General features: G+C 46.2%; 1 protein-coding gene across 2 annotated transcripts in view, besides 1 other annotated feature; it reads left to right on the top strand.

Moving 5' to 3' along the window:
- Positions 1–12,015, top strand: part of ABCA4 (ATP binding cassette subfamily A member 4) — a 128,315-nt gene that overhangs the window by 90,379 nt on the left and 25,921 nt on the right. For both annotated transcript variants that reach the window (NM_001425324.1, NM_000350.3), the window contains 8 exons: positions 244–342; positions 1,139–1,325; positions 5,722–5,816; positions 7,352–7,384; positions 8,819–8,924; positions 9,056–9,130; positions 9,361–9,530; positions 11,011–11,188. In NM_001425324.1, coding sequence (NP_001412253.1) covers positions 244–342; positions 1,139–1,325; positions 5,722–5,816; positions 7,352–7,384; positions 8,819–8,924; positions 9,056–9,130; positions 9,361–9,530; positions 11,011–11,188 — 943 coding nt within the window. The remainder of the gene's footprint in view (positions 1–243; positions 343–1,138; positions 1,326–5,721; positions 5,817–7,351; positions 7,385–8,818; positions 8,925–9,055; positions 9,131–9,360; positions 9,531–11,010; positions 11,189–12,015) is intronic.
- Positions 8,825–10,024: an enhancer, noted in NCBI's record as "CDK7 strongly-dependent group 2 enhancer chr1:94486302-94487501 (GRCh37/hg19 assembly coordinates)". NCBI's record gives its function as "activates an origin of replication core promoter dependent on BRD2, BRD4, P300/CBP, MED14 and CDK7 cofactors, with strong dependence on CDK7, by STARR-seq in HCT116 cells {active_cell/tissue: HCT116}" and the evidence as "EXISTENCE:reporter gene assay evidence [ECO:0000049][PMID:35650434]".

Raw genomic sequence — 12,015 nt, 5'->3', positions numbered from 1 at the left:
AATGCAAAGCTTAGGTGAATGGGTTGAAGCGCCATCTTTTTGAGGCATAGGTGACATGCCATCAGACCACTGCGAGTGTTCAGGCAGCCTACCGCACTCCCAGGAGAGCTAGCGCCATCCCAAGGCAGCATTCGGTGCCTCCAATACATACCTGGCACACAGCAGCTATCCAGTAAAGGCTCTGAGTTGCATGATGTTGGCACGCGCCTGCTCTGTCCCAGTCACATGTCTCACTCTGTCTAGCATGGATGAACCAGGCAGTGAGCAGTTCACGGTACTTGCAGACGTCCTCCTGAATAAGCCAGGCTTTGGCAACCGCTGCCTGAAGGAAGGGTGGCTTCCGTAAGTGCCTACGCGCCCCTGTCCTAAGAAGACTAGCTCCCCTGGGAGGACCCAACGGTGGGTTCAAGATGGCAGGCGTTGGGGAGGCCCCACTCAATCCTGCTCTGCTGGTCACTTCCATGTCTCTGACCAGCACTCCCCCAACCTCTCCTTCCACACTTGTGTGCAGGGACATTCACTACCTCCTAGGAAGCCCCCACACCACTGGACAGCTCTATATTTCTCAGCATAGAAGTTCTATGTTGAGTTGACAGATGATTCCCCATAACTTATTTGAAAGGCCTCTGAGCAGGGAGGGAGGGAAATAGGGTTATGCTATTGTGTGATTGGGCCTTGAATGGCGTGAGTGACACAGTGGCCAGTACTTTGTGATAGTTGTGAGTCTGGAGAAGGGAGTTAGCGAAGGCCATTGACATCCACCAGGAATCCTAAAAGTTCAATATAATTTTAACTTTTCTCCCTCAGTCTTTTTCAAAGCTGTCAATAAGGACCAAAACAGACTAATTTCAAATTCCTCTTCTGGTTGCTGTGTCTCTCAACAGCTAGAGCTGCTAGGAATAAAAAGGGAGACAAAACGATCCACAAGCTAGAGATGGTTATTCCCCAGCCCCACACCTAGTCAGTCACAAAACCCTAGTTTTGATATTGCTTGAGCAGAAACCAGCCTCCAAGAGAATAAGAAGAAAGGGCCTGGGTCTAAAGAGGAGGAGGAAAGGGTTGGGCACAATTTCTTATGCCTAGGGATTTGTCAGCAACTTTGAGGCTGATTATGGAATATTTTCTTGTCTTCCATGAGGGAGTACCCCTGTGGCAACTCAACACCCTGGAAGACTCCTTCTGTGTCCCCAAACATCACCCAGCTGTTCCAGAAGCAGAAATGGACACAGGTCAACCCTTCACCATCCTGCAGGTGCAGCACCAGGGAGAAGCTCACCATGCTGCCAGAGTGCCCCGAGGGTGCCGGGGGCCTCCCGCCCCCCCAGGTACCTGACCTCCAAACAACGGGGCCCCAGGTCTGCCTGCCACAGAGGGACTAGGGGAGTCCCTGGTATCTCCTGAGTCTCTCACAAACTAACATTTCAAACTGGCAGTTGAGTAGGGGACTAAACCAAACTCCCTGCACCCTCTGGGAGGGGCTCCCCACAGGGCGCTGTGGCTGCCAACTGGAGGAAGCCACTCACCAAAAGCTTCATTTTCCACCAGATACTTCCTATTTGATCTAGTAGAAAAAATGTGTTTAAGCACTAAAAAAAATTAAGTCATATGTGCTCATTATAGAAAAATTAGAAAACACAGGTAAGTCAGAAGGAAAAAAAATCATCGCTTGGATATAAACACAGATAATGTTTGGTTTGCAGCCACCCAAACAGATTATATTCCAAATATTGTCTTAAAATCTGATTTACTGCATAATTTACTAGGAACATGCATCCATGTCAATAAATAGACATCTGCATCACTTTTAATATCTGTATATTATCCCATTGTTTGAATTTCTTTTTTTTTTTTTTTTTTTTTTTTGAGACAGAGTCTCTCTCTGTCACCCAGGTTGGAGTGCAGCGGTGTGATCTCGGCTCACTGCAACCTCTGCCTCCCAGGTTCAATTCTTGTGCCTCAGCCCCCCCGAGTAGTGGGGATTACAGGCATGCACCATCATGCCCGCCTAATTTTTTTGGTAGTTTTAGTACAGATGGGGTTTTACCATGTTGGCCAGGCTGGTGTTGAACTCCTGGCCTCAAGTGATCTACCCACTTCTGCCTACCAGAGTGCTAGGATTACAAGCGTCAGCCACTGCTCCTGGCCTAAAGTTACTTTAAATTAACTGATCTCCCATTATTCGCCACTTAGGTTTTTTAGTTTTCACCATTATAAGCAATGCTATGATGTACATTCAAATGGAAATGTGTTTACACACTTATTAACAGTCTTAATTAAGAAGCTCTCCATGTGCTGTGTCTCTAACATCTGCAGGTATGTACACAAATACATGCACAGCCAGCATCCATCTTTTGCAGGGACATTAATGATCTTGGCTCTGAGCAGCACCCTGTCCTGGGAGTTCTAAAGTCCAGAACAGATTACAGTGAGCATCTCCTGGGGGATTTAGAGACATCAAAGAAGGCTGTGTCCGTGGTTGATAATGGGCCTCCCAGCTGACTTGCCAGGGCTGGGCCTTAGACAGCCCTGTCCAATGATTTGTCAATGAATAAACTGTTCCCAAACAGGCTATGCAGTTCAGTGGGAAAGCACAGGTATGGGACACGGAGAGCCCCAGGTGGACTACTTGACCTCTCTGAGCCTTAATTTTATCACCTGTGAATTGGGAATAACTGCTTATTTCATAATATTATTATGAGGATTTAATGAAATCATGTGGGCAAGGAATTATTTAGAATTAGATTCAACTCAAGTGATGACAACCCCAAACTAACAGCAGATAAAACAAGACACAACTTGTTTCTCACTCATCTAAAAGTCTACGTGGGTGGTGCACGATGTTCTATTCTCTTTCTCCTCCACACTAAACAGGCCTCAGCCTCATCAGCCAATAAGGCAGGAGCTGCCTTCCAGGCAGCGGAATGGAAGAAGGATGAAGCAAAACAGAGGGCAGAGTGTGCACATGTGCTATGTTTAGGGAAGGTTTTCTGAAGTTCCCACATAGTACTTCCACTTACAAACCCAACAAAAAAGGCTATGGCTAAGGCAGCAGGGAGGAGCAAATAATGGGAGCAACTAGATTTTGCCACAGCACCTATCACAGTCTGGTTTATAAATGGTTCTAGGCCAAGAACACCCGATCCCTGCTCTTTTTTATATTCTAAAGCATGTATCTTTATATTTCTCAAGCAATATTTTCTCTCTTTGAATCACAGCTCATCTGCTGCATCATAGGGATCCCAAAAGAAGGACCCAAGGAACTTGTCTCAGTCCTCTGTGCCCCAAGAGGAAGCTTTGCTTGTTTGCTTTGCTGTCAATGCTGAGGGCTCCTGTGGCTGCCTCCACTCAAAACCCTCCAGCATCAGGACGTCAAGGCTGTGATACTGTACCCTGAGCTCTTGGCCAGGGCGAGGGAGGGGAGGCCAAGCCTACCTACATGGTGTTTCATTTCCTAAACGAACCCTTACTTCCACGCGGTCTGTCCAGCTTAGAAACTTATTTTCAGTAGTGTTGGTCCTTGGTCCCTGGACAAAATGTAACAGCCAAAGTCCTAGAAAAAGGCAAGCCAGTTCCTGCCATTTTCTTTCACTTCTGCATTTCCTCACTATTATACGTGCCTTCCATTGGAGCAAAACTGAATGCCACGCATATGCACAGGAGCTGTGCGCGCTCTGTCTCTCTCACTCACTCTTTTTCTCTCTCTCTCTTTCTCTCTCAATCTCTCTGTCTCTATCTATCTCTTACTCTTTATCTCTCACTCTCTCACTCTTTCTCACTCTTTCTCTCAATCTCTTTCTCATTCTCTCTCTATCTTTCTCTCTCTCTCTCTTTCTCACACACACACACTCACAAACCCACACTCTTATTCACATCTGCTCACCCTAGCCACTCAAACACAATCCCTCATTCAGCCTGGAATAAGTCCAGAGGGCGTGGGCCTGATTCAGAGACAATCAGTTGTTCTCATCTGGGAAATGGGGCAATGTGGTCATCTCTAGGGACCCTCCCTGCTCTAACATTCTTTGAATGTGGTGGGTCCTGAGGTGGAAGCACTCTGTCCCTGACTTCTAGTATATGTGGAGATAGGGTTACACAAATATTTTATTGGGCAGAACTTTTATAAAACAATTTATCATAAGCTATCGCAGCCAGCAGCAATTTTTCCAACCTGGATTCCACCAGGGGAGCTTGGCCGGTGTCTGAGTGCCACTTTCAGCTTGAGAAGCAGGTGACTCAGTGAAAAGAGCAAGGAGGAGACAGAGGCAGATTCAGTTCCTAGGCCCTGGGCCACCCACCTGCAAGTTTGCAGCCCAGTCAGTGCAAGTCAGCTAACTGTTCTGAACCTCAGTTTCTCTGTCTGTAAATTAAGCTAAAAATTCTTCTTTCAAAGAGTGTCAGGATGAAGTGAGATCGTGTATGTAGGGCATTTAACATAGTGCCCGACACACAGGGAGCATTCGGTAGGTGCCAGCTCTCCTCCTGGCAGGAGAGAGAGAAACAAGGTGAAAAGAGTGAATTAAAGAAGAGGAAAGTCAAATGGGAAAACAGGGGGAGGAGATAGAAAGTGTATGAAAAGGAAAGAATGGTGCGCAATAACGGCGGTGTAATGCCACCAAAATCCCCTCAACTACTTCTGGGCAGCACCCTTGACAGAGTGAATGCTTTTATGAGAATGTAAGCGGAATGTGTTCCCAGATTTGCAGTAATATTGCCACCTGGTGGACAAACCCATGCACCTTTGAATTTTCCAAAATATTTCGATGAACTAGCTTCCAGTCCTAGATGTATTTTGAAAGTGATTTGTAAATTGTAAGGAACTATTCAAATTCTTTCATTAATGTCACAAATCAACTGTGTCATCTGTATGCCACCCACTATTCTGGGTGCTGGGGACACAACAGCTCACAAATCAGGCAAAGTCCCTGCTCTCACCAAAATGATATCCTACGGGGGATTACAGATACAAATACGTAAACAGATCCATCGGGAGGAAACTCTCAGATGGAAATGAGAGCTATGAAGATAACACAACAGTACATGACAATACAGAGTGACTGGAACCAGGAACATTTCTCCGAGGAATAAAATTTGAAGCGAGCCATGAGAGGGTCTACAGGTAGAGTTCCCAGGCAGAGTGAACAGCCAAGCACAAAGCTGCACCAGGAGAGAGAGGTGCTCGCCGAGAGACAGGGAGGGGAGTGTGGCAGGTGAGCTCAGAGAGGGGCAGGGCCACACACATCGGCCACATGGGCCTTGGTAGTGAGTCGAGATTTGATCCCAGGGTTTATTGGAGTGGATAAGTAAGCAAGGTGACTGAGGTGCTCGGGTTTACATTTTTATAGTTCAAGCTGGCTGCTGGGTGGAAAACGGAAGTTGGCAGACCAAGGACAGAATCAGGCAGACCCATGTGGAAGTTTCTCTAGTGGTCTAGGTGGTGGCTTGGGTAGCGTGGCAGTATTGGAGCTGGAGAAACGCAGATGGATTGGAGATTTGTTTTGGAGTGACGCCATTCTGTCTTGTCAATGGATTGGCGAAAAAAGAGGCATCAAAGATGAGTTACACATCATTGAAGTGAGAACTAGGGAGATGCCAGTACTTTATTTAGTATTTTCTCAGCAGCTCAATCCATAAATAATTTTTGGAAGACAACAAGCAGTTTCACAAACTACTTATAAGTCCTCAAGTTCCAAGGTAATTAACGTGGGTGTCTCATTGCCTCAGAGAACACAGCGCAGCACGGAAATTCTACAAGACCTGACGGACAGGAACATCTCCGACTTCTTGGTAAAAACGTATCCTGCTCTTATAAGAAGCAGGTAAGAAGAAATCCTTTTATGCTTTTTATCCTGGCTCCCTGTAGAAGATATTAACTAGGGACAGAAGATAATTTTCTCTCTCAATTTATGTATGATCAGGGCAGTAGATTTTTTTCTTTTTTATCTGATTTGAGGGCCCCATTCAACATAAAAAGCAATTGAGGCACATACAAGTAAAATGTAACTTAAGATTAATTCTTTTTTTGTTGTTTGTTTGTTTGTTTTTACATTTAGGGCAAGCAGTCTTAAATTTTAACCCACGTATTATTAAAAGTTATATCAGAAGACCATAGAAGTTATTCAAAAATGCAGCCACATATTTTAACTAGTTAAAAGAGAGAGTAAAAATTTGGAGGGAGGTGGAGGAGTATAGGGGAAAAGGTAGAAGAAAAAGAGAAAATAAGTAAGTGGCAAAAAAGAGAAAGGAAAAAGATAGGGTGGGAAAGAGGCAGCGGGACAGTGTCTGAGTCCAGCACACGCCAGGGCGAGCCAGGTCAACTGCAGCTGTCATATTCTAACTGTGAATTATCATCTTTGATCACTGCCCTTTGAGATGCCAATGAACTTTTCAAGAAATATCTAGTTCTCTTGGCTCTCCAGCTGTTCTTATCAGCCCCATCCAGGATGGAACAGCTTTGGCAGCCCGTATCAGAACAAGCAGCTTGACAGGGGCATGCCATGCCAGGAGAGAGGATCCTAAGGAAGCGTGGTCCAGTCCGCACAGGCTCTGGGGCTTTAAGATAAAACCTCCTGTCTAACTTTAGTAGGACTTTCTGTTGCTTCACCTGCCAGAGCCCTGAACGAGGGATAAATTGACTTAATTAACTAGAACACACTGCAAATGGTGAAAGCATTTAGCAAAACAAAGAATGCCATCCAAGCCCCAAAATAAAAGCAGAATAAATAGAATGCAATAAACAGCAACCATCCCAAACTGAGTTCTCAGCAGCAAATCTCCAGTATGAAATTTTGGATTTTGTGCGTGTGTGCTTAAAGGTGGATGACAATGACAGTTCATGGGATTGAGCTCTGGGGTCCAGAGTTGGCATCTGTTCATTTCCCATTTTGTCATTTTACCCTTGATTGACTGAATGTCAGTGCCTTAACTTTGGGCTGTGGAGTGAGTCGGAACTCCCCCGAGGTGTGCAGGTGGTTGTTAGAGTCTCATTTTTGCAGGGTGGAAGACAGGAGGGCTGCAGCCTTCATTCCACACTGACATGGTCATTGCCGTGTGTTCTGGGTCCAGATCAGGCATATTGACCTGACATATGACCTGACAACAGGACCACTCAGAAAGTCCAGCATGCGGGATATGATTTGGAGAGCCAGTGGGGGAAATCATAGGTCCTTTCTCTGCATGTGTATTCAGGCAATGTCCCAGGGCTGGGCGGCTTCCGCATTGCTTGGATATCGGAAAATGCAAAAATGCCCCTGAAGACTGAGACTTCAGTCTTCAAAATGAATGTTTGGGAAAGAAAGTTAACGGCACTGCTGTACTTGTGGTATTCATTGCATTATTTTATTTTGGCTTTCAGCTTAAAGAGCAAATTCTGGGTCAATGAACAGAGGTAAGAAACTATTTTTATCAGAATTAAAATCTCAGATTGATTCATTGTTGAAATAATTGCACACTTTTAAAAGGCACACCTCACAGCCATGAGGAGGGGCTGTTCTGTAGGTGCTCAGGAAGTCACAAGACACGTCCTGAAGAATATGTGGCTAGGGACATCCCAGACTCAGAAGACACTCAGTGGTGCCTCTTCTTGGAGGACATAAGTGGGGGTGGCATTCCCTGATGTGGCGTTTCAGAGCATTCTCACCCAAAAAAAGCTTCTAAAACCTCCAAGTATATAACAGTTTATAATACTCCAACAAGAGGGCCTTGTAGCCTAAACCCGGGACACTCCTTGGCCCATTCCTTTTAAGCTTCAGGGAGTGTGGGCCAGCCCCAGACTCACCCCATTCCTGAGGCATCCTGGAGGTTGAAATATTTCCAGAGGTTTAGAACCTCACCAAGTGGGACTCTAGGAGCCTGCTGCCTCCCAGCCTCCCTCAGGAACTGCACCTCCAGAACAGGTGCGGGGCTGACATGTATGTGCTTTCCTGGGCAGATTCTAGACCGTACACATGAAATCTGGCTTTCAGGATTGCTCTCCAGAGGGACCTGTGGGGCCTCGGCTGAGACAGAGAGTAGGAGTGAGGCAGTGATTCAAGGCCCTGAGAAAGAGCTCCTCCTCTGCTTGGTATAACCAGCTAATTCATTCTGTTCTGTTGACTTTGGCTTCTGCCCTGCCTTTGAAGGGTTTGAGGCCAGGGAGTGATGCACTCAGACTGGTGTTTCCACACAGTCACTTCAGACTTCCAGGGCAGTACAGGAGATAGATCCCAGGGCCAGTGAAGAAGCAGAGCACAAGTCCAGGCAGGAGAGGCTAAGGGCCTCCCTGAACAGGTGTGAGGCACAGAAGCCCCGAGAGGTAGGGATGACAGGATGAAGATGGGTCCTGTGCTGCTAGAAGTACCTGCAAAGCACAGAGGTGGCACAGAAAAGGAGTCCTTGGCTGGGATGGGAGGAGATGACATGTGACATGTGAAAGAGGACCTGGAGTTGGCTCGATGCTCCCAAAAGGGAAAGGTGCCGAGGGGAGCTAGCAGCCATGCAAAGGCAGAGACATGCAGGCAGTCTGGGCCATGAGGAGCTCTGGAAGTGACTCGATATGTCCAGAATAGGCCACTCCAGGGAAGGGCTGAGGAAGGATGAAGTTGGAGAGGGGCACAGACCAGATGCAGAAGGGCCTCAGAGGCCAGGATGAGGGTTTGGACTCCTTCCTGGAGGCAGCAGCAGTGGGAAAAGAGTTAAAAGCTGGTTTGTAAAGTGGAGCCATGTTGCTCGCTGGTCCAGGCAATTCCCCCGAAAGTTCATGTTTCCCTACAAAACCCGAGAGAGCTACTAGTAGGCGTGAAGTTCGTGGCCCTGGTCTGAGGATTTCCTGTTTCCTTGTCAGGTATGGAGGAATTTCCATTGGAGGAAAGCTCCCAGTCGTCCCCATCACGGGGGAAGCACTTGTTGGGTTTTTAAGCGACCTTGGCCGGATCATGAATGTGAGCGGGGTATGTAAACAGACTGGAGATTTGAGTAGGATTTTTGACTTGCTTAACTACCATGAATGAGAAACTCTCATGAGTGATAACAGGAAAAAAAAATTAAAACCGTCTTGTTTGTTTGTTTACATGGTTTTTAGGGCCCTATCACTAGAGAGGCCTCTAAAGAAATACCTGATTTCCTTAAACATCTAGAAACTGAAGACAACATTAAGGTACTTGACCTATGTATAATCTGCTCTGGAGCTAAAAATTTACCTGAGCTGGTTATTTTATTTTTACTTTCCTACCTTCATTAAATTCCATCCCTCCTCCTGCTGAAATCTAGCAAGGAATGTCTTCCAGCTACCAAACCCTTCCTGCTTCTCAAATTTCCTTTCCTTCACTGATTTCTGCTTTAACTAGCTGTTAGTGCAGCGTCTCAGATGTCCTCTCCACCCTCTAGGTGTGGTTTAATAACAAAGGCTGGCATGCCCTGGTCAGCTTTCTCAATGTGGCCCACAACGCCATCTTACGGGCCAGCCTGCCTAAGGACAGGAGCCCCGAGGAGTATGGAATCACCGTCATTAGCCAACCCCTGAACCTGACCAAGGAGCAGCTCTCAGAGATTACAGTGTAAGCCACCACAGCCCCAGCCTCACCACTTTCTTGTCACCTTCTCCACTCTTTGAACATCCTGAGAGGATTCTCACCACCGCGAAGTGCTGATTTGGATGGTAATGCTGTTTAGTCAGGCACATATGAACATCCGACTTTCAAATAAGTGCCTCACACTTCACATACCAGACCTCTTGGTCATTCTTTCTCCCCAACATTTATGTGGCAAGTAAGTTTACATTTGGTTCCATTCCCTTTTGGCTTTTGATAGCAAGTTGCTCCTGGAGCTTATACAATTATTATCTTTGCTATGTGCAAAGCAGCTGCCAGGAACTGGCAAAGTTCAGTAAACCTTTCAGCTCCCTCGGAGTAATTATCTTAGATTCCAGGAATTTCCTCAGAAGAGCATACTTTGGAGATGTCGACAGAGCTTTGCTACCCTCAAGCTGAGGCTCTTCTTGCACAGTTTCAGCCAGTGGAGACAGTGGCCTTGTGCGTTTTGTAGTATGTTCACTCTATTTGAGGCCTACATGGAGGAGGGGTTGGTAGGAGCACCTTTGTTAGTGCAAACTTCAGCAACGTTGTGGGGTCCTGATTTTACTATCCTAGCACACGCTGAGTGCCAGTGAACATGCCCAGGGTCATCCACTAAAACCTGGGCCTTGGCTCCTTGGTGTCTTCCTCTGGACACCCTAGGGCCCTAGACTGTCCTCTGTTAATTCTCACTCAGCCACACTTTCGTGTGTCTCCTTCCAGTCATTTGTTCTAAGCTTACTACGTGTATGGATGATATGATCTGTAGTTTTATCAAGGTAGTGACTACCACATAGGATACCTTTGTGGAAATTAGTAAAAATGCTCTTTTCTGCAGGTGGACACTGTCCCATGCCAGGGGTTATGGCTTGTACATAAAGTTCAGGCTGGCTTTAGCCCCAACTTACCCCTCAGCCAGATGCCTTCTATTTGTCCGAGGAAAGAATAAATAGAGCCAAGTCCCTGTACAACTTGCCTGCCCTCTTTTCACTTAAATTTACATCATGAACATTTCCTTGTGTTACGATGTACTTCTTGAAAATGTGATTTAACAAGATGATTATTAACAAAAGATAAATCTCACAGACCGTATGTCTGTCAACATAGAAAATTCAAGAGACTCTATAGACAGATTATTAGAGCTAATGAGAGCATTGCAGTACATAAGATTAATATAAACATCTATTTCTATACACCATAAAAATAATTAGAGAATATAATAAAAAGAAAGGTTGTCTAGAAATATTCACATGAAATAGAAAGGCAACCCGCAAATACCCATTTAACCTTGGTCCATATGGATTAAGACAGTTTAGTGGAGTGACAGCTTCAAGGTAGAGAAGAGGAACCTGGAGGCCACACCTGGGCGGGTGTAAGGCCTTCCCAAAGCCTGACTTTGTATCTTCTCCTCCTTCTGCTCTTCCCTCTTCATCGCCCTCTCCCTGTGTCTCTGGCCCTGCTGCAGGCTGACCACTTCAGTGGATGCTGTGGTTGCCATCTGCGTGATTTTCTCCATGTCCTTCGTCCCAGCCAGCTTTGTCCTTTATTTGATCCAGGAGCGGGTGAACAAATCCAAGCACCTCCAGTTTATCAGTGGAGTGAGCCCCACCACCTACTGGGTGACCAACTTCCTCTGGGACATCGTAAGTGTCAGTTTACAGCGCCTCCCTCCCCTCCGTGGGCCCAAGGTGGAGCTTGTGTGTGCTCTGAAGGACCAGACCAAGAGGGGAGGGGTTCTCACGGTGCCAGGGCTGCTGAAAGGCACTGGGCCAAGGGCCTTGTGTATCTGCTGTCCCTTGACATCTTCTCAGAAAGGCACAGAACTAGGAGCCCGAAGCTAGGAAAGGCTGTGGGGTGCAGCTTAACAACTGGTGAACGGGGGCTCTCTATGTCCTGCACTGAGGGGTCTTCTGACCCATCAAATAATCACTGCACCGCAGGCATGAGTCTGGCCTTCCTGGCATCAGTCTGGCGCTGAGAAGGTAATATGAAGGGGTCTTTCACCCCAAGTCCCCTTCTCAAATCCTGCCCCACCTTCAAAAGGGTAAAGGTAAAACTTTCCCTGTGGTAGGGTCACCAGATAAATACAGGACACCCAGTTAAATTTAATTTCAGATGATGAATAATTTTTAGTATAAGCATATGCTACTTCAAATATTGCACAGGACATATCTACACTAAAAAAAAAAAAAAAAAAAAAAAAAACCTGGTTGTTTATCTGAAACTCAAATTTCACTAGGCATCCTAGATTTTTATTTGCCAAATCTGGCAACCCCAGCCAGTGGCCAAAATAATAAGACCTTCACTTATTAGATTAACCACCGCTACAGGGAAAAATGAAGAAAAAATATTTATTAAATCAATAGCACACTACCACCTTCCTGACAACCAAGGTTGGTGGGGGTAGGGAGGGGTCAGGATAGCGTACCCTATTACAGGCTGCAGGGTCAAAGGAATTGGTAGTAAAGGC

Source organism: Homo sapiens, chromosome 1 (genome assembly GCF_000001405.40).
Source record: "Homo sapiens chromosome 1, GRCh38.p14 Primary Assembly".
NCBI lineage: Eukaryota > Metazoa > Chordata > Mammalia > Primates > Hominidae > Homo > Homo sapiens.
This window is presented reverse-complemented; position numbering and strand designations above follow the sequence as displayed.